We start from the raw sequence: 25,448 nt of genomic DNA on the forward strand, positions 1-25,448 counted from the left end.
TCAATAAGGGGGAAAAGCAGAATTGAAATACAAAGTAATTGTATTCTCAGAGCCCAATAAGATTGCAATAATCAAAGTAATAATAGCTTACCAGGAATTAATCACTAATCAGGCATTGTTCTAAGCATTTTCTACATTTAAACCTCGCAATTACCCTAAGAGAAGATCATATTTTTATTTCATTTACTGATGAAGAAACTGAAGCATAGATAGGATAGGAAAATTGCCCATGGTAACAGTTAGTAAGTGGCAATGCCCAATAAACATAGATGTTTGGTCATTTACCAGTTGTATTAGTCCACTGTCACACTATCTAAGACTGGGTAATTTATGAAGAAAATAGGTTTAAATGACTCACAGTTTCACAGACTGTACAGGAAGCATGGCTGGGGAGGCCCCAGGAAACTTAAAATCATAGCAGAAGGGAGAAGTTAAAGCAAGCACCTTCTTCCCAGGGAGGAGTGGGGAAGGGGGAGAGAAGAGGGAAGTGCTACAACACACTTTCAAACAACCAGATCTCATGAGAATTCTATCATAAGAACAGCAAGGGAGAAGTCCAACCCCATGATTCAATCACCTCCCACCAGGGCCCTCCTCCAACACTGGGTTCAACATAATATTTGGGTTGGGACACGGAGCCAAACCATATCACCAATGATGCCTAGTTTTACTTCAATGCTCATACAAAGTGCCAAAAATCCCAACCTATCTTATAGGTGATACGATGCATTGCATTATTGAGTTATACAGTAACTACTATTTTGCATTTGGTCAACTTTCACATTCATATCCAAATCTTTGGAACTGTTCCCCTAGTACTCCAAAAAGATTCTAAAGCTACCATTCCACTGGAGGCTACTTCTTTCATTCTTTGTAATTAAAATAAAATATGTAATTTTCAGCAAGGTGACTAATTAAATTCCCAAAGTGCTCCTAATATAAACACAAACTAGGCTGACCCTTCCCTTGAAAACTCCAAACTGATCAAGACAAAAGGGAGGAAGATATGTAAACAGAGTCTGGTATACACTTATGGAAAATAAAAAGCTCAAAGACAAGAGTTCGCCCTACTGAACATGCCAATTCCTATTTCCACATGCCTCAAGACCCTGGACCCTCAATGGGAGTTCAAAGTCCTCAGAATGATGCAAAGCTGGGCACTGTGGCTCTGTCTACTTGCTTATGTTTTATCTCTCTGACCTGGCCTGTTTTAAGCAGATGAACCCTGAACCTGCAAATAAAGTTTTAGTTTAATTATGAAACAAATGTTTTGCTTGTCTTTGGTTAGGTATACCATTATTTATGCCCTAATTAGTGTCAGAGCAATTTAGTATCTGTATATATAATAATATATGTTGACTGCCTCAAGCATTTTTTCTGCATTGTGTGCATCCTTAGAACATGTCATTATTTATAAATCCACCAAGAAAGTGTTAAGCAACAAAGCTCACCATTGTCAAAAACTCTCACATTCATATCAACTTAAATATTTCTTATTCCTTGGAAAAAAATCAATGGAAGTTATTCACATATGTTAAAGAATCATCTCAAAAAACTACTTTTTCTATAAATAAATACATTTTGTATAAGTAAGCCAAATGTACATAATGTAATTTAGCTACACTTGGCATCCTAAAAACACTTGGGAGAGTATTCACTAAATCATTCACTAAATGCTATAATATTCTGTCACTGTATCATAATATTTTATATGCAAAATATGCCCTTCCTAAAGTGGGCCTAAAAACAGTCATTTCTGAGACGTTTATCTGGAATATAAATGTGTTAATGCACTACAGGGTAAAACACTGGAGTGCCTAAGAATTTCCACTGAGCCCCAGAAATTTATCAAAAGATAAATCTTTCCTTCCTTTTAATGGGATATTCAAAGTAGTTAGCATCTAAATATTAAAGTGTTCATAAAAATTTTTTCAAATTCCTATCCCTTGACAGGTTACCCTTTGTTTAGTTGGAGTTAAAATGGAACATTGTCTGTGGCATCCAAGGGAAGCAGGACAATATTGGGCAAGAGAAAAAAGATAGCCTTAGTCAACCTGGTGAGATCACTTCAAGCTTTATCATTTTACAATTCAAGAAACAAACAAGTGCTTATCTTTCTAAGAAGATAACAAATGTTAACTGCTTCAAAATGAATAAAATTCACAAAATAGGCATTATAAATATTGTGCAATGATAATAATAATAATAATGTTTTCAATTAAAAAACTGGCAACAAAAATCAACCCCCCTCCTCTCTCCACATTGGAAGTTTTAAATTCGCAAATAGTTACAGCAGAAACGTTTCATGTTAGAAAAGTTTATAATTAGTCTTATAAGAAAAAGTCAATGATTGCAGCTTTCTTTAATTAATTTTTTGTGCAAAAGTAAGGTCATTTTTCTATCGAATCACTAAGACAGTAACACAAGTAAAGCAGTTTAACAAATATAAACGTTTGCTTACAGCATAGTCTACCTGTGTAATCTCTTCTCTATCACTTTTTAAGACAGAAATGATTAAAGTAAATATCTGGGCTGAAGAGTTTGCTAAAATAAAAACAGAAATTATAACCATTTACAAAATGAAGAAAATACATACTGAAATCTTACAGCATCTTCTCCACTTAATAAAACTGTCTAGTAAACATCATTCATTGACTTTTACTAAGACAATGCAGTTTTTAAAACTGATTATTTTTTAATAGATAATAATAATAAATAAAAACACTTGGGATCTCTTACAGCAGAGTAAAAAGGTACCATGTAACATTTTGTCAACTTGAAACTAAAATTATGTGGAAAGTTTTGGTATAACATACACCTAATAGAAATTTAAAGATAGTACAAATAGAACCAGTTAGATATAACTGACCATAAACCGTCACATATGTACTGGCTAACACAACAACAATAATCCTTTAAAAAAAATAAAAACAAACGTTGGGATTTTTTTTCTTTTTTTCTTCCAATCAGTACAGTAAATGCAACAGAATTCAACGTTCACTACCTAACTTAAGAGAAAATATCTATGTGCACCTCCAAAATGATACCTCACTGTTAGAAGCTTAAATTATAAGTACAGGAAGTATCAGTTCAAATAAAGACAGACTATAAGTCAGTACTATCATGGAATCATACGCAGGATCCTATCCAGAAATAATTACACTCAGCCTTCTGCAGCATGCACACCCTGGAAGCCTGCATATGTTGGCTTCTCAGCAGCCTGACAGCAGGCAGTTTCCAATTGCATGGAGAAGTGGAGAGAGCTCATGTTAATGAGATTCTCCTTCTGCATCTCTCTACCTCACATACTGCATCTTCTAGCACAGGAAAATCACTCTCCTACTACGACAGAGAAAGCAGGAGATCCTTATGGGCCTTCAGTTCACTTACATTTTTTCTTTTTCTACCATTAATGTTTTTTAAGGCATTTATGTTCCTCCTTGACACTAGAAGAAATCTTTTCCTTTGCTTGGCTTCTAAGATAGGATGGTTTGTAATATCCTTTCCCTCACTTCTATGCTTATATAACTTAAAGTGGCCACTTCATTTCATTCATTCTTTTTCCTTCCTAGTTGAGCCATGTTTCAGAAGGACAAGACAGGAAAAATAGTAATCAAGGACAAATAAGAACACTTCTCACTTCTTTTATCAATTTGATAGTGAAGATTGTCCCATCAACATCATTATGAGGACAATTGCTTCATGAGAGGAATATTTTATTAAAAGAAAACATTAGAATCCTCTTATTACACTGACCAAGCTAAGATTACCCTACTATAGAATATATGGTTGAGAGTACATGTAATGCTAAGAAGAGCTGGGAAAGCAGGAATGGTCCTATTTTTAGGACAGCTTCATTTAACATTCACTCTGACCTTTATTGGAATGTGTCATATTTAATTTAAACTACATAGGAAGCTCCTCACATTCTAAATTGAAGTAAACTATTGGGTTTTCCTTTCTTTTCCTCCTTCTCATCTGAAAGTTTTCCCAGTAGTGAATAAGCAGTTTCTTTTTGCATTTTGAAAAACAGAATAATAATAAGCCAATGCAGTTTACCAATTCCTCAAAATTGCTTCCATTATTTTTTATAAGTAACATCACTGCAAATTATGTTTTCATAATCTACCAAATTATTCTTTACTTATTTCTTTCCCTGTACCTCAAAGTTATTGCCACTTTGGACCAATCTAAACAATTCATCTCCTACCTTGGTATTTACACTCTTCAAGTGATCATACCTGGTTTTCTTGTCTCTCCTCCCCACTCTGCTGCCCGTCTTGTTTGGGTGAGCAATACATAATTGGTTCTTTTAATCTATCCTCATAAGTCAATTGCACCAGCCCCTTAATCATTTTTGTTGTGCTTCTCTGAAATCTGTCCAATTTGTCAACATCGTTCTGGTGCTGGGACATTCAGAAATGCATGCAAGATTCTGGTACTGCCTCATCAATGCTTTATACAGAAAAAAGATGATCACCTCTCTTTTTCTCTTGGTGAGAAGTCTCTGGGCATGCAGCTTCAAAAGCATATAAGATTTTTTTTGCTATAAGTTTATACAAAATATTTCCAGGTAATTTTTTTCTCTAGCCTTCATTTCAAGCATTATCATTTTACAAATATTTCTCTTGAACTCATACTTTGTATTTCAAATTTGTACTGAGATGTGTATTAGATATATTTGCTTTCGTCTTTCTCAGCTGAGAAATGCTTTATTTTTTCCATGTATGCCTGACCTCTCTTTGTGCCACTGTATTTCTCCAGCACCACCAAGATCTCGATTCAGTTTCATTTATGAGTGTAATTAATATGATCTTTGCCCATTATAAGGGTTATTAATAATACGGTTAAATAAAAACCTTATAACAGCACCCCCACTGAATCACTCCACACAAGTCAGCTTATTGCAGAATAACAGTTCATTTTATTTACGGTCTCTCAACCAATTTTCAGCACATGTGACAGTGGCCATGTTAATATGAATAAGATTTGAAATAAGGTTTTCTGAAACTGTATCACAGGTTTCATATTCCTTTTAGTCACCGGTTTTGATCAAAAGGTTGATAAGTTTGACTGCTGTGGTTCAGTCTTCAATTTTGGAAGTTACTGTTATTAGCTAGAGGAAAAAAAATGATTAGGCTATTCATAGTACCAGAAGATTGATTTCTCTAAGTAAAAGCCATAGGAACACAGACTTTTAAAAATAATAAGCATTCATTGTAAAATCATATACATTTAATAATATGCCTAGTTTCCATATTTATGGTCCTGTTTCACTAAGTTATCATCAAAATTTATGAATATGTCCACGTAATGCAAGTATTTGTATTCAAGTAACAGAAAGGAGGAAAAGTGCTTATTTATAGCTTCTTGTTTATAGTACCTGCCTTTCTCTCATACATTGCTACTTGCAATCTAATGAATGATGCATTTCTCACCCACACCAAACTTTCCTATAATCATCAAATTCTATAACTATTTTACATGATGCTACATTGGAATGCTTATTTTGAATACATGTTAAGGGAAATTAACTCAAGGAAAGACAAGCACTTGATTTTCTTTTTCTTGCTTTTCAGTTAAGTACAGACAAGGAATGTAATGAATGAATCAACAGTACATATTTTGATGAAAGCAATGTTGAGCATACAAAACACTGCACATTCAAGAAAAGCCTTGCATTTTTCCTAACTCATAACATTGAAAATGAGATTCACAATCTTGTTAGTGTCAGACTATAATCATTCACATTGCTCTACAAATCAAAATAATATTTTTAAAAGAGCAGCACTGCACTTTCAATGTTAAAGTTTTATGTTGTTTTGTGTTTTATGAATGAAATTTTACTCAAGAAGATCCTCAAAGGGATGTGAGAGACATTGAGGCTTTGTTAGTCAAGAACAGAACATGAGAAGGTACTCTTAGATAGTGCATGCAAGTTGGTCTCTTGATACCATTTGAATTGTAAGAAGCAATTAAATACTTCTGCTTACTGAAAGTAAACTTATGCTATCCTGGTCAAACCCCAGGCCACAACTGCTACATGTGTCATGGAGGTGATGTGTTAGTCTCCAGGGAAAGGGTACAAAGGAAAGTGCACATAAAACTTCCGCTCCAGAGGAAAAGAGCCCTGACACCCTGGACAAAGAAAGTTGCCCCTCTGTCCTCCCACCTGAAGGTACAGTGCTGTCCTGGCATGTGACAACAAGTGGAGATTAAAAACAGGAGAAATATCTGGGACAAAAAAATGTCAAAGCCTCAGAGTCACTTACAGTCTTAAAGAGAATAACATTTAAAGGGAAGCCACATTATTAGTAACATGGGCTTTAAAGAGGGAAAAGGTAATTAGCAACATCTTAATTCTGAATTATGAAACTTTCAGCCAAATCTATCATTAGTCAAGTTAGGATAGAAATTAGAATAGACTGTATAGCATTCGGTTTTATCACAAAGGAAAAAACGTGATAGTAAAAGCTTTTCAATCAAAATTTTTGCCTTTTCTAATACTCAAAAAAAGTAGTATCGTAGTCATAAATTTGAAAAATGCTTCACCAAGGATTAGTTTTACACTCACTTATTGAATTCTACCTAGAGAATTAATATAGAAGATGATACGAAAGGAGATGACCACAGTATCAAACATATATCCTATTCAGTGAACACTATTGACATCTGATTCTACATATACTTAGGTATGTATTTTTTACATTATATTTACCGTCCACCCAGATTTTCAGTTCAATTGACAATTCTTTACTAGGGACCCTTTTGTCCCTTCCAAATATAAATGGAGGACAAATTTAAATGCTGCTCAGACAGATTTTTAAAATCTATATTCACTACCCAAGATTCAGGTGCACAAATTCCTTGGCTCCAGAGAGCATAATCATTCCATAGAATTGCTTTTCCTTATTTACTAACTGAGGACCACTGCAAGTTGGAGATATGTGGCACTTATCGAATATATTTTATCATATATTGCTTCTTTTAAAATCAAAATTATCTTTTTTATGAATTCCTCTTTTATGCTTATAGTGTAAAAATCAATAGTAACCTAATTCATTAAAACATTATTCGCATAAGTAACAAGCAAATCATTCATCCAATAAGCAGACTTGGAAACCCCAAATATAAACACCAAAAGCTGAATTTTAGTAAGAAAATATGCACTATTGGGGAAAAAATGCAAGACAGACAGAGCAGTGCACCATACATAAAATGTCAAACATGTCAAAACACTCATGAATACCAACATCTCCCACCACACCACGACCAATTTTAAAGGTTATTTAGGGCTCACACATCTACAAGTGCAGATTTTACAGCAGCGGACTTTATTTTTCTCAGATATATTAAAAATAAGTCACTGATGTGTCAAATGTTTTCTATGTCATTTCCACACATGTGGCCCATGTAGAGAATTCTGCCCAGCATTTCTGAGAGCAGGACAATTACACAGAACACAGACTCCTGGCACCGAATAGATTCATTATGGATTTGTTAGAAGCTTGTTTTTAACTGTATCAATTCAGTATGCAGGGAGGATAATTAGTCAAAAGACCAAGAAAGCAAATGTAGCTATCTTCATTCCTCAAAAATAGAAACCCCTGTTAGGGTCTCCATAATTCAACTTTTCAGAACTTCATTTCAGAAAGACACTTTGAGAACATGTCACAAGGCTTCCTTGTCCCTAAATCACTGATTATGAATTATTTCCGGATAACTGCAGACAAGTAAGTCTTATAAAACAAGAAGCATAACACATGCAGAACATACTTATCCTACTTCCAGCCCTCAGATAAGTGAAGCTTAAATTAAATGTCAAAAGACGAACAAAATCTATTGTATAAGCAAACAGCTGATCTAAATCCACTATGTTTTGTCTGTCAAGTATGTATATTCTAATAAATTTTATAATATAATAAGACTATTTTTGCCACCCTTTGACCACACCAAGTTAGATGCAGACAGTCTTCTGAATAAATATTACTCTCTGCTTGACTGTCTAAGCAAAATCTATTTATACCATTTGTTAGACTGTGAGAGTAGCTCTTAAGAAAATGTTAATAACAGCTAAACACTGTCTACCACAAATATAGAAGAAGTAGAAGAAAGAATAAAAGGTTCATGCATAGCCAGCTTTTCATTTTTACAAAGTGGCCTGCTCAGGACTGTGAACTAACTAATATGCAATTTGGTTTTCCTGATAGGAAACCTAGAAGCTTGCTGAAAACTCACATGATTAATATAAGGGAATTCAAACAGCTTGAGGATGAAAAACAGTTTTCTTTTTTACTACTTTTAATATGACTTTCTCAATGGCATAAACACACGCAGCAATCATTCCCACTCTTTTCTTGGGCAGCAAAGCAAGCAACTCAGAACTCCTTCACCCATAAACTACGAAAAGCAATGAAAATAATCCCTTCTTTAAAATTTCAGCGAGAAGAAGATTATGCTATTATCACTTACCCCACTGTGGTTTCAGGTCAATGCTCCCCTCCAGAAGTCTGAACATGCCTGAAGCAACATCCTCAACTCTCAGCAGGTGAGAAAATCTTTAGTTAGTTTCTGGAGAAGCAGAAAGGTACAATCCTTCTGGGACAGGCAGTGCTAAAGCAAGGCACTTGTAAGTTCATATCCTGGCTCTCAGTTCGAATTCCAACTCTTCCATGTACTTATAGGCCAAGATAATAAACGATACCTCTCAACCTCATCTCTTCATTTGTAAAATGGAAATAACAGTGCCAACGTCATATTTGGAGTTGAGATGATTATATGATATGATATCTGGAATTGCAACATGTAGTAGACAGAGTTATTGTAATGGAGGAATGTCAGAAACCATGGAATGTGTCCTCCGTCTGCCACCTGCTTCTGCCCTTCACAATGACCCAAATCTTTGAAGGAGTCCACATCACCCCTGCCTAAAGATTGCAGCACCTCTTAGGAAACAAGCTCTCTGACTAGAATGGAATTATAGGAAATGCAAGTTTCCATGCCAATGATTTTGTTCCTTTTGACTCCTTTATGACACCTTGAAACATCTGTGTGGTCCTCATTAGCCCAGAGCTTCCCATACTTAGAGCCACACTCTCCTAACATAGTCTTGCTATGGCCTCTATATCCAACTTTCACCTTATACCTACCTGCCTGCCCAGCACCCAGCATCCTCCATGTGCCCTTTTTATTCACTTCCATAGATCTCTTCTTACTTTAAACTCATTCACATTATTGTTGGCACCCTGGCCATTTTAGTCCTCTCCTTCTCATCTCTGCCTTCAACTCTAGGACTCTGATTAAATAAATCCTCTAAATTGCCTCCTCCTCTTCCAACTTATCAGTCCCTGCTCACCTGATCATTCACAGTATGGTTCATTATCTTTATCCATCCCTATCTCTACCCATTTCCCCCAAAAGCTTTTGCTTCCTCCTTCTTGTTTGGCAATAGCATATAAATGAGAAGGCCTGTGACATGGACAATGGGACATTCACTACCATCCCTTTTCTCTAGCTTTCCTCTATGCCTTTTTTGCTGTTCACTCTCTTCCCAGGTACCAGGTTGCTGAGGAAGATGAAAAGGGGGTGGCTACATGTGCTTATGTGCTTGTCCCCCTGGCCCTTCCTTATGACACCCACCTGGCTTCAAGCAGATAACAGGCCAGAGGATAAAGAGATACAGAAGTCCATTGGAGTGGTGACCAAAAACGAACAAACCAGAGTGAAGAAAGAGGACTGGCCAGAAAACCACAGTAGTAGGCCAGGCATGGTGGCTCACACCTGTAATCCCAGCACTTTGGGAGGCCAAGGCAGGTGGATCACCTGAGGTCAGGGGTTTGAGACCAGCCTGGCCAACACTGTGAAACCCCATCTCTACTAGAAACACACAAAAAAGAAAAAAAAAAAAGCTGGGTGGGGTGCCCGCACCTGTCAGGGAGACAGAGGCTGCAGTGAGCTGAGAACACACCACTGCACTCCAGCCTGGGCGACAGAGCGAGGACTCCATCTCAATCTCAAAAAAAAAAAAAAAAGAAAAGAAAAGAAAAGAAAGAAAGAAAAAGAAAAGAAAAGAAAACCACAGTGCTGAGATTCCCTTATCAGTATCTCTCAATAAAGGCAGCCCTTTCTCTCACTTCATGTACAATTGGTCCTCAGTAGTGACACTATCAACCTTTTTAACTGAGACCCCCCCATAAATATATTTCATAGTGTCACCCAAGAAAAATTGCAGCAAACAATGCTTAGACGTCTTATATTTTTGCTATCCTGCAAAGCCCTCATAATTTCTATTCTATTATTCTTTCATTTCTTTAGAAGAAAATTCTGATGGCAACCCAATATAATATCTTTGAAAACCACTAATGGGTCAGGACCCTCAGTTTGAAAAACACTGGCCTATTTGCAGCTTATTGATGAGGAGTCCTCTCTCTGTCCTTACCCTTCTCGAAATCCCAATTTAATTTGAGTCTGTCAAAACAATCCTCTTGTCCAAGCTTCCAGAGCCAAGAAATTGTGGTAGACTCAATCCCTCTGGAAGTCCCTCTAGTACCCGATGAAAGACTTCTCACACTCGCAGCAGCCGCCCTCTACTGTACCAGGGACGTCTCTAGCAGAAACTTGGGCATTGTATCTGCTAGAACGGGTGACACATGTCCTGGAAATCCTAGTTTATCTAAACACAGGTTGAGATAGAAATAAGAAAAAATGGGAGTGAGAAAGATTAAGTGTGGGAAGAAGAAATGAGGAGAAAAGCGTTGAAGTTGAGCTCTGCTAGGATCCAGGTGCCGGCTCGGCGCTGTGTCTAGTTAAACTCGGCGCGACAGGGTTCAGCTAAGCCGAGAAGAGGGCAGCGAGCGGCCCGCAGTCAGCATCTTGTAGAGAAGAAGGAGCGCTCCCAGCCGCGGGAAGATAAGCGTACAGGCGGCCCCAAGGCCCCTACAGGCGCAGCCCTGATCTGGCCACTTGACTAGACGCTCGCTCCAGCGCTCGCAGGCCTAGGGCTCATTACATGCGTTGCGAGGAGACCTGAAAGCAGGGCGGGAACGCACAATCTATCTTCAGAGCTTTGGGTCGTGAGCACACGTGTGGAGCATGGTTGTGGCATGGGCGTCTGGGCCCCTCTCCTAGACCTCCACGAGGTGCGGACGCGCCTCTGCCCCGCCCTTTTGTGCGCCCTCACCACTAGAAAAAGAGTTTTCCCCAGTGTCGCGTGGGAGGTCGCCCCAGTCCAGCTCAGCGTTCCAAGAGACCAGAGACTGACCGGAAATCGTTGGGTGCAGGGAGAAGCAGGAGACGCGCTCCGCCTCCTGTGCTCGTGCCCTAGCGCAACAGACGCGACCTAGAGGCGACGGCAGCCTGTTGCAGCCTTCGCCCTGAGGGTGGGGGGCGGGGGGGTGTAGAACAGCTGAGGAAGACGCAGGGAGCAGCTGGGGAGGAAAGGGAGGGACACCGAGGAAACAAAGTTCACCCAAGTGAATGCGTCCTAATTGCTCCAAGGCTCTCTCCGCAAAGTCTACGACTGCAAGCCGCAAAGTCAAACTACGTCTCCAAAACGCAGTGGGCAGAGCAGGAGGGCTTGTGTCTCCATTTTCGCCGCAGGGCGGATCGCGGACACAAGTCCTCTCCAGTAATTCCGAAGCCTCGAAATAAGACTATGCTGGGAGGAGGGGTTGGGGGGTGACTAATAAGAAGGCGTGGGGGTGGGGGTGGGGAGTACGCGGCAAGAACCCTGCTTTCTGGAATTCTCCCGCCACTGTCTGCAGGGCCCAGAGCGCACTTCGCGGCTAGGGAACAAAATTGCCGCTCTCTTCGAGCGCCCCCAGCGTGGGGTGGGGCCCTGCTTTCCCGCGTCAGGACCGCCCCACCAGGCGCCCTCCGACGGAAGCTGGACTTTTCCTAAGGAAAGGCAAAGTCAAAGTCGGAGGAAAGATCTTTCTTGCGGCCCCAGCTGTCGCTCCTAATGGTCTCGGGGAACATACTAAAGGAAAATGACTTTAAATCACAGTCTTGCCATCCTAAATAGTTATGTGCAATATTTTGGTTTCTAGCAAAATTTAAAAGTAAAATGGGGATTTCCATATGTTCATTTTATTATTAAAAACGAATTACTAAAAAGTGATGACCTGTTTGGAATTCATATCTTGCTTTACGAGCAGTCAGCCAGTATCGACTGAACACAATAAATGCAGGGGTGCGAAACGTGATTGCTCGGGTTCGAGTTCTGTCGGATGCACCGATCTAAGCAGAACCTTTCCCGAAGACTTGGAATTGGGTGCGCTTTTTTTTTTAAGTTGTGGCTGAGCCCTATGGGGAAGAAGGGTTAACTGGGCGTCGGCTGAGACCCCAAACCCTCTTCCTCCTCCATGAGACTCCAAAATTGAGTCAGTCCCAGCCCATAGTTGCCTGGGAAGCTTGGAATCCTGAGAAATTCCGGGGTGCGGCCACTATGCAAGCATTCCTATTCTGACAGCGGGGACAAATGGAGAGGGGACCTTACAACCTCCTTTGGAGAAGAATATATGAGAAACTCACTTCCAGACCTCTATTCAATAGTGAAAATAATACTGAGAAAAAGTTTTAAAATCTCCAAGAATAGATACTCTCCTTTCCCCTTCCACCTTGAGGGAAACGGTCTCCATTTTTGACCTGGATTTGAGAGCATCGGGGCTTGAGACAAGCGCGTCTTCCACAGAGAGAGGCGAGGCCCAGGCAGGGAGCCCCCCAGCCTTTACTCTCGGCACCTCGGCGCTGCCGCGCGGCGGATACAAAAGGAAACGGACGAGCGTGCGACGCGAGGCGGGGAACTGGTGGCTCGAAGACGCGCAACACGCGCGATGCCTAGAAGTGCTCTGGTGTCACTCCCCTGTATAGGACCTGGCGAGATGGAATTGTATCCTGTACTGGAAAACTCTGTGATCAAAATATTGCAATGAAATTAAACTTTTCCCTCACAGATCTGTTTGTATCTTGGAAACATTTCTGCAATGCCGACGCCTAGGTTTAAAATACAATTAGATAATTTGATATTCTCGGTGACGCACTGACACCGAGAAAGCCAAGAGATTCTCCAAACAAAGTGAAATTGAACCTTCAAATGACATTCTTAAGTTTGCAAGAATATCTATATCTCCTTGTTGTGCTCCTTGCATGCGGAGAACCAGTGGCCCGTAAGACTTATGACCGGTGTTTTTTAGGGGAGGAGCCACCTAAACTATCTAGGAATGGAGTCCAGTGCCAGAAAGAAATACACAAGGTCGTTGGGTGCCGCTGTCACTGCAGGGCGCCATCGGCTCCCTGGGCCTTACATATCTCTCTTGTGAGAATCAGTACCCCAAATACTCTCTCTCTCTCTCACACACACACACACACACACATCCACCCATCCACAGCGGAAGGCCAGCAGGGCACCGAAAGAAATTGTGGCGGTCGCCTGGACCGCAGAAGGCAGACCTCAGGAAGGAGCAGGCGACAGCGCTGCTCACTGCTCACTCGAGCTTTGAATTAAGGCCATCTTTCCATAAACTCAAAATGGGGCTAGATAGCAAAGACTTAAAATTAGACCTTCCCTCAGAGCTGAGAACTGTATGGTCATGTCTTCGGAACAATGATCATATATTTTCCATTGCTGGAACGATACACAATAACTGAAATGCTTAAGAGGACGCGGGAATACGAGGGCGGTATGAAGCCCTCATTACAAAGTTTAATCTCTTTCTGAAGAAGGTAATGCAACGTCTGGCTTTTGGCAATGCAGCGTGTCTGCTGTTTTTCCTCACTTTACTCCTAGAAACATTAGGACAAGAAAAGTCCTCAGCTGCATCTGGAAAGATGCAGGGGCAATGCATGCGACGCTCTTCACCCGAGCAACTCGGTGCGCGGCCGGCCGGGAGTTTGACAGCGACTCTGTGAAACAGAAAAGGCACTAGCCAATTTGCAACTTAGGAATCACAACTGAATGTTCCGCGAGCCGGTGCAGTCGGCACGCGGACATGGTGGAGGGTCATCTCTGCCTCCTTTGACCCCAAATTCCCGGGAGGCGAACTACCCGACACCCCCTTGGCCTTGGGTGTTGCGCAGCCGCTTCCTTAAGGGAGAACCAGTCACAGAGTTCGTTTCTGGGTTCAACTCTCGGGGATTGTGTGACGGAATGTCATTGTCTCAGGGCTGCAGACACCTGGGAGGGAGATGAGTGCTGAAGGCTCTGCAGATTCCCAGCATTTCTAAAGAGCTTTTCTCTTTCGCTTTACTTACTGCTTTGTGGCTTTACTTGGGCATAAGATGTGAAAACAAAATGATATGGCTAGTCTCATCCTTTCAAGAAAGTCAAGAAATTGAACATTTCGTTATTATTTAATCTCTTATGTGGCCACCCTATTTGTCCCTCAGTTACCCGGAGAAAAACGCATCTCGTAAAAATAACCTTATATTACCACCGACACCTGCATTCTCTCTTTTTGCTGACCCGCAAAACGTGTCTTTTAAAAAGAGGGGAAACAAACAAAAGAAAACCTGAGCGCTCTCGTGGCAATTTACAGTTCTAACTCTGCATTTTAAAAACAATAACACTCTTCATAAATTTCAGTGACCCAAAGGCCATCTGTAATTCACTAGGGTCAGCGAAGGAGACCGTCCCCATCTTATGCTCTCTATGAATTCACAGCTGCCCTAAGGTGAAACTCGTTGGACTTCATTTGCCCAAGGACAAGGGTTCTGAGTGGAAGCAGCTTCTACAGCATCAGTTTCCTTTCTTTTTTGAAAGTTGGTGCTGGGTGGAATCCTAGAGGCCCGGATACAACTTGCTTATACTAGGCCCAAGACCCAACACATAGATATTTTATCATGTACCTGAGAAACTTACACGGGAGAAATTCTATTCTAAAACTACAAATTGCACCTCATCACCATCCACTGAATGAGGAAAATAAAGAGTTGTAAGAACTACCTCTACTGAGTTCTGCTCTGTGCCAAAGTGACCCAAGGCCCAAAGGGCCTGAACTGCTTTGCCCTTTCTCCATGACCCAACAGTTGTAAATTGAGAAATTGGAAAATCGGAGATTACATACAACACTCCTCAAATCCATGTTGACTTCTTGAGTCTTAAAAAGATACTTCCTAATCACTGTGCAAGACAAGTACTTGACTAGACTCTGACCTTGCTCAAGTTCAAAAGCTTTTGGGTCTCCAGAACTTCTCTCCTGAAAGCTACACTTACTTGCAAAGTTAACAGAAGAATTGAGATATTCTAAATTGATCCTAATAAATATTGGTCACCAGACTGGAAAATTCTGGTTAAGAAAAAATATTTTACTGAATTATCTGCATAATTATTCTGGTTCACCTGATTTCTTTTGCCAGAATAGATTTAGGCTGTTTAAAATTCAGATATTGAATAAGTGACCTATCCCAAATTAATCTCCAACTGTGTATGTTATGTTGCTGTTTAGTCATTATTTTTTCTGACCCAAAAAGAAGACAAAATTCTGTTCATTTACATGGTTTATTGTTGTAAACATTAAAATTGTCTTTCTCAAAGAAAGAATTTATCAGAAAAAAAATCAGCATCTCTAACTGTCATACACCATAGAAAAAAAGGCAGTGACTCATATCATGTGCCATACTAGAAATATACAAAGAAAAATACTACAGAATATGGCAATATTAAAATTCTTACTCAAACAAAATAATAAATTAACTGACAATTTTAGACATAAAAAAAATTCAAAGTGCTCAGTTATTTCCAGGGAGTTATGTATATTATAAGCACTCTGGAAACAGTCAAAAGCTGCTGCATGCAAGTTTTGTTTAGCTTTAGACAACAAAATAATCAAGATATAAACTTTCTTTTTATCAACATCAACGGTACATACAACACTTACAAACAAGGAATGTTGGACGGTGTTACAAACACTATGTGTCCCTTTTGTCAGGATTTTCTGATGTGTAATACTTGTGCCCACCTATTTTACAATTGAGAAAATGTTTAAGCTCAGATAACTACCAATCTTTATAAAATCTAACAGACTACATAGTGTCTGAAATACTATTTATATAATATAGACATTACTGAAGTAGCAAGTGCCTATAACATTTTCAACCTAGAATCAACATGCTTGTCCCTTTTTTATGTATTTATTTTCTTTTTTTTTGCAAACACACTTATCTTTTAGAATTTGTAATATTTATTCATAAATAGGCACAAAATAATTTAAAAAGCCAAACTGCATTGGGTAAATTTACAAGCCTTTGCCTTCTTCAACTCATGCCACCCACGCAACATTTAGTTTTACTATATATTACAGCTTTCTTTACAGCAGAAAACTTTGAAGTCTTGTTAAAGGGCAATACTTGTGGGTCCCCTTAAGATGTGTCTCTGTGTGTGTGTGTGTGTGTGTATGTGTGTGTGTGTTACATTTGTCTGAACTGCAACAACCAAGCATGGCCAAACATTTCCCATTATACATTATAGCAATCTTTCTTCTGAACAACAAACTGATTTTTAAACTGAGAATAAAAAGTTTATACCACTGTATTGTGTGTAGTCCATGTTCTAAATCCAGGATGCCCCGGAGCCAAAATGCCCTTTCAGGTTCTGCCTGCAGGTTAGGAAATAGCAACAGTTTTTGTTTGTTTGTTTGTTTTCTTTAGGGATCAAGGGGGCTAGGAGGGTTACAGAAATGGGGGGCAGCTTGAGCTGAGACTGCTCACACGGCTATCTCTGCCCATGTGACTTGCCCCCTCTTGACAGTTTCCATTATCATTCCAGTTCCTTTGAAGTGCTTGGGAGGAGGTCTTAGAAAGGTAAAGTGTCCAGGAAAAGTTTGTCAATTATTGCTGGCGGTGGCACCAAGTCTTCCAATTTCAGGTAGAAAATGCGCTGTAGCCCCTGTGTGCAAAGGGTACGAAGTTCTGGGAGCTTCCCCAACAGTTTGGACAAATAATTGGGGCGGTTCAACCCCCCATTGTTGAAAGTCACGTGGTCTTTGAGACAATTTACAATCTTGTTTTGCAGTTCTTCCACTCTCTTGGGTTCCTTGAGCCCGTGTCTCTCTGCAGAAAACATAATCAGAAACAAAAGAAGAATGTACAAGACAGTTAGCTAGTTGGCAAAACCAAGGAGAATCTGTGACAAGGGAAACTCAGGACAAATCCTGCTAGGCAGTTCTGGAGGGGAAGCGCCCTGCGCCTGCAGTACTGACCTGTGACCATAGCCAGGGCAGCAATGCAGGAGAAGGCAGAAATGTCGATGTTCATATTCTGCAAGTTGGAGGAGAATTCAACAATGGAATCAATCCATTCCCCAAAGCCACGAACGCATTGCAACCTGTGCAAGACCACCCCATTGCAAAAGATGAGTTTACCCTCCACTGGGTTGGACCTGCAATTAATACCAAAGAGAGAGAGGGGAGAAAAAGAGAGAGAGAAAAGCTAAACAACTAATTACTTGAAGAGCAATAAATGAGGGATTTAAGAGTCACCTAATTACTGAAGAGTTAATAAAATGTAGACCAGTGGACCTTGAAAGGGTTTAATTTCATAACAATCAAGAACGCCCCCTATCCCACCTCCATTCCATTCATCCAAGGCTTCTGGGCTCGCTTCTTCTCGTCTTTTTTTGTTTTCTTTCTTTTTCTTCCTTTCTCCGACTTCCATTTCCTATTCTGTCTTTTTCTCTACCCCACCCTCTGGTTTCCCTTCCTCCCTTTCTTTTCCTTTCTTGATTTCTCTCACAGCCTCCCTGGATTGTCTCCCTCCCTCCCTTATTACCTGTATGCTAATCGAAGGACAAACAGTTCTAAGAAAGCTGATTCAAAAAGCAGGTCTTGGTCGGCTTTGGGCAGGTCTGCGAAGCCAGGGATCTTCTCTGCCCAGCCCCGGATGATCTCCATGGAGCCAGTCAGGAGATCATAGAATTGCTGGATATGCTGGGTGTCATCTCCACTCATTTGATAGTCAGGGTTCGCCTGGAACTGGAATTTCATTTTAAAAAGCACTTAATGAGGTTCTCTAAAATATATAACCCGTGAAATTGCTAACCCCGTTTCTAATAGGGGAGCCAGGTTTTTATAACAATTAAACCTCTCTCTGACCAGTAAGGAAATTAGATGTTCCGGGGCAATTAATTCAATTAGGGATGGTGCTACGAGGTCGCTGCTTTAAATATGTAAATTGCCATTTCCATACAGACTAAATACAGTGCCATCCAGCCCTGGGAAACGTTCACTCTTATCTCCACAAAACAATTGACATGTTAGTATTCATGCTAGTCCCAGAGTGGGCCTCGAGCTGAGACGCCCTTTTGCAAATCTTAATAAAATTGCAGTCCCTACCAGGTTTGCTCAACATACTTCCTCCAATTAAAGCCCGCATATTTTTCACAGCTGGAGTAAAAAGGATCTGACCACTTGATCCCCCACCCCACTGGCATTCTTTACACCCTCTCCTTCCCTTCCCTGACCCCCAGACAGGCCCCCACATCCTTCCCCAGCACAGTGCCAGGAAGGATGAGGATTAAAGCATCTATCTCTATGGAGGACTGGGAATAAAGTAGATTGGGAAGGGGGAGAGTTTGCACAGCCCCTGGATTTCATGGTAGAGGCACTGGTGTATATGGAAGAGGAGGGGCGATGGGGTAGTGGGGTAGTGGGAATTCACACAGCTTCAAACCCTGTGGCGTGTCCCTCTCCTCCTTCCTCCATCCTGTCCTCATGTCTATGCCCCCAGCTACATGGATTGTCTGAAGATCTGAATCTTGAGGCCCTGGCCAGAGCTGCGAGGCATATACAGCCTTGCTTGCCTTCTTTACCCCCGTTGAATCTGAGAGTTAATGACGGATGTGGGGAGGGGTCCTGCCCATCTGTCGGTTTGTCCACATGATATCCCCCCCGCCAGCTTCTTACCCTGGAATAGTCCAGGCTGGTCATAGCCGGGTTGGAGTCGACATGGGCCCTGACGAGGGCACTGATCAGACTCACCGGGGGCGAAGGGGGAGAGGGCTCCTGTGGGCTCTTCGGTTTCGAGGGCAAACGACCTCTCCGGCCTTTTAAACTGTCTGTGCGAACCACTGCAAAGGAAGAGCCCTGTTAGCGCCGCTTTTCCGAGCCCAGGCCCAGCTGCTGCCTCGGTCCCTCCCCGGGGAAGGCCGCAGCCGCGGGGCACCAGGCTGAGCGGCTGAGGGCCCCAGTGCTTGTAAAGCCTTCACTGACTAGAAGCATTAAAAAATGCGGGGTTATTTTATGTCTTCCTCCAAATGGGTCGTATAGTTAAAGGAGAGAAGGGCCTGGCGGCTTTCTCTAGGGAAGGCCGGGCAAGCAGGCAGCTGCAGGGTCCTGGAGGCCATACTGAGGGGGAGTCGGAGATCCCCAGCACCGGGAAGTGGAACGTGATGCTGGAGTATGAGCAGTGGTTTCCTAAAGGCGCAAACTGGAGGGTCGGCAGCTCCCCTCAGCCTACCTTCTTTGACCATCCCAACAGCCAGGCACTTCTGAAATCGGCAGTACTGACAGCGATTCCGGCGACGCTTGTCCACTGGGCAGTTTTTATTTGCTAAACACACGTATTTTGCATTTTTTTGCACTGTGCGCTGCAAAAGGAGACAATATAGACCAACATTTTTTTTCTTCTTTTGAAAATCAGGCAACTCGGAGAAAATTTCTGTTATGTGACTGGGGTCTACGATTCCTCCCCACAAACAAACACATACACACAATTCCATTTTATTTTTTTCTCTTCCTTTTCTTTCTTTCTTTTCTTTTTTCCTCCCCCAGGGCATTTAACAGAAGAAAATTGATAGCGTTAACATTTGAGCTAACCTTGCCGCTCCTTGCTGTGTTTTATATGCCAAGAGAAGGAGAAGGAGACGCTCAGTAAATACAAATCCGTGGGCATTCATATTATTTACATTCCTTGGAGACCTTCTCTATTTAAAATGATAAGATTATTCAATCAGGATGGCGAAATAAAGAGATCACTTAATTTGACCATAGGGAATTCTGTTCCACTTGGTTAGCTCAGACACGGTTCTCTGTCCTAACCAATTTCATTCTGAACAGGGAAGACAGCTCCTAGCACATGCAAATGACCCTCTTCCAACTCCGGCTCCAGCAACTTCGGGCGGGGGCCAGCCGGGTCGGCTGAATGCGAGGGGGATGCGACCCTGGCCTCCCAGTCTTTCTGCTTCCCTTTCTCAGACACCCGGAAGTCCCCGCCGCAGCCCATGGTCTCCTGCAGGGCAGCTTCGGCGGACCCCGGAGAGCTGGGCAGTCCCGGGAGAGCTGGGGCTGGGCTACTGGCACCAAGGCAGAGGGCACACTCCGAGGTCCCGGGCACTAGGGGCTCCCTACCTGCCTACTCCGCTCCCGCCATTGCTCACCTTAAAGAAGCCTTTGCAGCCCTCACAGGTGCGCACGCCGTAGTGTTGGCAGGCCGCGTTGTCCCCACACACAGCGCACAGCCCCTCGTTGGAGGGGGAGCCCCGCGACGGCGGTGAGGGCACCTGCGTGTCGAGCAGCTGAGACGCGTGGCCGATCTGCAGGCCCGGGAAGCCCATGGACGCGGGCTTGCGAATGGGGTTGGGCACAGCGAAGGTCTGCCCGTCCACCACGTGGTGGCTGCCGGCGGGCTCCGGGTTCATGGGGACGTGCAGGGGCCCGTCGAAGCGCATCTGGCAACTAGACACCGGGGTGCCAGGGGGCGATTGCTTAAAGGAGAAGAGGGAGAGGCGGGAGACTGGCGTTTTCCTCTGCTCGATCATGTGCGTAGTGGCCACGTAGTTCTGGTGGAAGTTGTGGAGAGATCCCGGGTCGTCCCACATGGGGCTGTGCTGCACCTGGAAGCCCGGGGTGGTGGGCGTCGGGGGCGAGGAGGGCTTGTAGTAAACCGACCCGGAGTGCGGCATCATCTCCTCAGACTGGGGGGGCAGGTGGCTGTGTTGCTGGTAGTTGTGCATCTGAATGTCTTCTACCTTAATGGAGGACTGCTGTCCGGACAGGGGCATTTGGTACAAGCAAGGTGGCTTGACGTCGTAGCCTGTGCTGTAGTTGTCCATAAAGGTACTGAAGCTGGGGAGAGAAGTGGTGGCAGTGATTTCAGTGTTGGTGAGGTCCATGCTAAACTTGACAAACTCTGGAGTTAAGAAATCGGAGCTGTATTCTCCCGAAGAGTGGTAACTGTAGCTCTGAGAAGCGGGGCTGGCTCCTTGAGGCGAGGACCCATACTGCGCCTGAACACAAGGCATGGCTGGAAATGAAACAGGGTGATAACACACTCAGCCTGGTCAACTGAACACTTTCTCCCGGGCTCGGGTACACCTGGAGCTACACCGGCAGCCCGCGGCAGTCAGAGAGCATGTAGGGGCGCGAGAGGAAAGGCAGGAGAGAGAGAATGCTGCAGAACAACAGTTTAGGGCGTGGAAAGACTAACCAAATAAAGACCCAGAGCTAAAAAGCTACTGAGGGTCTACACTCCTGGGTATTTCCAAACATCTCCCTCATACCCCCCCACTCATCCCACTCAGATGAGCCTCTTCTCTGAAGCTCAGATTCAGCAGTCTCTTTCTAGAAATGACCATCTAGAAATGAAGTTGAATTTCACAATGAGAAAGTTGTTCCCGAAGGCGATGGGTCGGGCAAACCTTAAGTTACAGGGTTTGCCTTGTCCTGTTTCTTGATGTTTGGGGAGCTCTGGAGAGTAAAGGAAAGAAATGAAGTTGCACTAACCTTCAGCCGAGTTACAGGCGTTTTCGAGGAAATTAAAGGTGGACAGTGTCGTAATTCAATGAAGGACAAAGTTTCCAAGATTTTTAGAAAAGCAATGGGGAGTCCAGCCTGTCCAATCTCCTCCCTGAAATACAGACACAGGAAGCTTCAGGGTTTCTTCCCGACAGAGATTCAGCTGGGCATATGTAGACTCACCAGGCAGGCCCTTCCATGCCTTCCCTGTTTGTCTCATTGGAAATGAGTGGGAAGCCTTTACCAAACATAGCACTTAAAATGAATGTATAAAAGAAATGACTTGAAACAACAGAAAATACCACCCATTGCACTGTGTAAATCCTTGCAGAGAGAAGATCCTGCAAGAGGAAAGCTAGTCCATGAACTCATTTAACATTTATGATGTAATGAACTGGCCCCTTTGCTACAGTGTAGGTGGAGAGGTCATTTCCATCTTAGGTTAATTCAGGACCTGAGTATGAAGACTAGAGTATGAAAATACAGCATTGGAACCTTCTCTTGCATTTTTTTTTCTTGTGGTGAAATTGCCTTTTCTTTTGGTAGAGGGGAAGAAAGTAGAAGTCAAGAATATAAAATGAGAAAACAATCTTCCCCCTTACAAAATGTTAGAAAGGCCTTGACTGAGAAGGCAAGTTGAGTGGAAGCATCCGCACTTCTAAAGTGCTTTTGACAGAGCACTGGGATTGGAGCTACAGATAAATTGATGTTCACTTTTCCAGAAAACTTGTCTTTCAGCATCTTTAATGGTCACAAGGCTTAATGGTCACAAGGTGGGAAGAGGGGATCTACTTTTCCAGGAGCTTCTTAGGTCAATTGCAGAGGGGGGACATACTGCTTATATGGTATTGGCACCAATATTAGAAGTGTTTCCCAGCACAGCAAGATGAACACCTTCCCCATAATGCCTTCCACAATCTGCCTTTCTGGAACAAGGCATTCTTGTGTCCTAGCAATTTTCAGATGTTCCCACTTGGAAGACATTCTAGAGCACAGACAATCTTATTACTAATGAAAAAAGAAAGCCAGTATCCTCTCTTTTTATTCTTTCCCCTCCCCCACAATCTTGCTTCATAGTGGTGGTGGGGGTGGGGGGAAGATTACCCAGAAAAAGCAGAAAGGAGACTCGAACCCCACAGCCCTTAGAGATATTCCTGTGTTGGATATTAACCCCCTGGTAGCTCCACAGTTTCATAACTGTACTCTTTACATATTCATATTCTCGCTCTGATACATTCGCAAACCCAAGGACAGCATATGTCAAAACCAGAAATTTCAGGCAACTTAGTAACAGGACACGCTACCAACACCACCCTTACTCAACAATACCCGGGAAACATCGCGCGCTGGCCAGCCGCGGAGACACAGTTCCCAAGCAACGCATAAACTGAAGAACTTCCTCTCCCTGTCAGTTTGTGGGCAGCTTCCCTCGTATACATAGGACTTGGAGTCTCCGTGTTCACAGGCCACAATCAATTCCTCACTAACAGCAAACTTTGCGCACATTTCCGCGGGCTAGTCCTCAGCTCCCAAACTGTGGAGTCTCCCTTCCACGTCCACCAATGAGGAGCCTGGAAACCTCTGTCGAGAGCCAACTCCCCACTAGTGCCAAAGCCGGAGTTCGAACAAATGCCCCCCGGTAACTGCGCGCACGCACTCCCCATCCTTCGGTCCCACTCTCACTAGAAGCCTCTGGCTCCCACTTCCAGAGAACCTGTCCCACACAAGTGGAAAGAAGAGACGTGCAAAAGAAGGAAAAAGCATAAAAGAAGGCGAACTGCATGGGCTGCATCTACTCACTTAGGAGTTCTCCGCGTCTGTCTTCATTCATTCAACTCTGCCGAAGTGCAGTTCCCTCTGGGAGCCCGGGCGCCGGGGTCGGGTAGGGGTGGGAGAGCTGGGCGAAGGGAACCCGGACACCTCACGGAGGGAGGGAGCAGGGACAGGCGGCCGGCTGGACAGGCAAAAGGGACCGCGGAGCCGTGCGCGAGCCGCCGGGCGGACTGGCCCTGGCCGCCAATGTGCCTTTGTTTATGTGGCTTGCGCTGCCGCTGCCAACATGCACCTAAAGTCTCCGCGCGTCAGCGCGCGTCAGCGGCCCGCCGCCCAATCGCCGCGCTGCCGCGCTCCCTGGACTCCTGGCCCGCGCTCGCTTTGGTATATTTCCGACCTGACGTCACGAGCAGGGCCGATTTTAAGGTGGGAACCGCTCTGCGTTCACCTTGGTAGCCAGCTTGGGTGGTTTTTGGTGTTTTTTTTCTTTTCTTTTTTTTTTTCCGAAAGAGGTGTGACCTCTCCCAGGTCTGCGCAGCCCGCAGCGTCGCGACACTTCACTTTCCCCGAAGCCCCTGCGCCCGCGCAGCGGCTCGGCCGCTCACATGTGGGGAGGGTGCAACAAAAGCACCGGCGGAAGGCAAGGCCGGCGTGGCCAGGTAGTACGCACCTGGAGCCGCACGGAATGGGATGTGCCTTGCAGCGCCCTAACCTCTCCCACCCACCTTCGTCACCCCCTTAGCGGAAGAGCGTACAGATGTCCCATGACACGAGACGCTCAGAGGGCTCACGCAGTTCGGGTGGGATTTCCCTACCCGGTTCATCCCCTTTTACTCCCTTTTCCTGTCCCAGGCCTCCTCCTCTTCTGGCATATATTCATTCTAATTATCTCTCTCTCTCACTCTCTCTACCCCACCCCCACCCCCCACACTCCCATCTGAAAGGGAATGGGAGTGGGGGTAGGGCTTATTTTTCTATGTTTCCTTATTTCCATGCAGTGCCCACGTTCGATGGAGGACGTGGTGCTTGCGGGGGGGGGGGAGAGGAAGGGGAGAGGGTAGACAGTGACCGTGACCCAGCTCTTTAGAAACCCCAAAAGTCAGAGTGAAGCGTCGCCCCTTTTCCTTTCGCAGACAATGCAGCCGAGCAGCAGGCAACAGGTGCGCCTTCTGCAGAAAGGTACTCTGATTCCCACCTTCTGCAAACTCTAATACTTTCGATACTCCTCTGTGCCCACCAACTCGTACCCCTTCCACGAGTTTTAAGGGAATAAATCGATCTTCGTTTGAAACACAAGGTCTATCACAGCCTCAATCTTAGAGCCCAGAAAGACTGGACAAGAAAAGCGAAGCGGGTGGGGATTGGGGGCAGCGTCTCCGCAAAGCGTAAGGTGTGAGCCTACAGCCCAGCCAGGAGAGGGGCCCGAGCTGGCTCTGGGAGCGTGTCCCACCCCCGCGGCCGTCCAAGTCGCCGCCGCTTCTGCTTTGCAAGTCATTTCCCCTAGCCACGCCGAGAGCGCAGGGAGCTTTCTAGCAAAGGAAACGCCGCAGCTCCGGAGGGCAAGCCCCCTCCCCGTCTCCCGGCCGGAGCTGGGAGGGCTTCCTAGGGCTTCTCCCGCGGGGCTTCCAGCGGCTGGGCCTTGGGAGGGAGAGTTCGGAGCCGCCCCCGCTTTTCTACTCGCGCAGAGCGTCCCAGCCGCCCCTCCTTTCTCGGTGTGGCTCGTTTCCAGGCAGCCGGGACCCTTTTGCAACTTGCCCCCCTACTCGTGTTCTCAGTACCGGCCGATGGCTCCGTGGAACTATTCGGGATCCCGGGCTGCTCAACCCTAATCTGCAGCCCCGCCTTTGCCTACTCCCTGCTGCCCCCAGCTCGCCGGCGGCTGGGGAGGCGTTGCCATCAGATGCCCTGCGGCTGCCCCAGGAAGCCGCGGGCTCTTTTGCGCCGCAGCCT

At 44.0% G+C, this 25,448-nt stretch overlaps 1 protein-coding gene across 11 annotated transcripts, besides 3 other annotated features; it reads right to left on the reverse strand.

Annotated features, from left to right (window-relative positions):
* Positions 269–358: an enhancer, noted in NCBI's record as "active region_16658". NCBI's record gives its function as "activates an Ori minimal core promoter by ATAC-STARR-seq in GM12878 lymphoblastoid cells {active_cell/tissue: GM12878}" and the evidence as "EXISTENCE:reporter gene assay evidence [ECO:0000049][PMID:35858748]".
* Positions 15,483–23,767, reverse strand: NR4A2 (nuclear receptor subfamily 4 group A member 2). Of its 11 annotated transcripts, none has more exons than XM_011511246.3 (8): positions 23,526–23,767; positions 20,369–21,234; positions 19,450–19,579; positions 18,897–19,060; positions 17,764–17,966; positions 17,358–17,374; positions 17,196–17,253; positions 15,483–17,046 (listed from the first exon to the last, which is right to left on the reverse strand). In XM_011511246.3, the coding sequence occupies exons 1-8, from the start codon at positions 23,554–23,556 to the stop codon at positions 16,821–16,823; spliced, it is 1,695 nt and encodes a 564-aa protein (XP_011509548.1). In that variant the 5' UTR covers positions 23,557–23,767; the 3' UTR covers positions 15,483–16,820. The 11 variants fall into 11 exon arrangements, with proteins under 11 accessions (XP_011509548.1, NP_775265.1, NP_006177.1 ...); NM_173173.3 differs by adding an exon at positions 21,714–21,837 and having other exon boundaries at positions 17,196–17,374; positions 20,369–21,056; NM_006186.4 differs by adding an exon at positions 21,714–21,837 and having other exon boundaries at positions 17,196–17,374.
* Positions 23,519–23,718: a silencer, noted in NCBI's record as "silent region_12016". NCBI's record gives its function as "represses an Ori minimal core promoter by ATAC-STARR-seq in GM12878 lymphoblastoid cells {active_cell/tissue: GM12878}" and the evidence as "EXISTENCE:reporter gene assay evidence [ECO:0000049][PMID:35858748]".
* Positions 23,949–24,028: an enhancer, noted in NCBI's record as "active region_16659". NCBI's record gives its function as "activates an Ori minimal core promoter by ATAC-STARR-seq in GM12878 lymphoblastoid cells {active_cell/tissue: GM12878}" and the evidence as "EXISTENCE:reporter gene assay evidence [ECO:0000049][PMID:35858748]".

This window comes from Homo sapiens, chromosome 2, assembly GCF_000001405.40.
Source record: "Homo sapiens chromosome 2, GRCh38.p14 Primary Assembly".
Classification (NCBI taxonomy): Eukaryota; Metazoa; Chordata; class Mammalia; order Primates; family Hominidae; genus Homo; species Homo sapiens.

Excerpts from the sequence above, each read along its gene's own strand:
- NR4A2 (XM_005246621.5), bottom strand. The coding sequence starts at position 23,556 with ATGAATGAAGACAGACGCGGAGAACTCCTAA. Across the intron at positions 21,235-23,525 it reads CAGACGCGGAGAACTCCTAA|CCATGCCTTGTGTTCAGGCG; the intron begins GTGAGTAGATGC and ends TTTCATTTCCAG. Across the intron at positions 19,061-19,449 it reads TGTTGGGATGGTCAAAGAAG|TGGTTCGCACAGACAGTTTA; the intron begins GTAGGCTGAGGG and ends CTTCCTTTGCAG.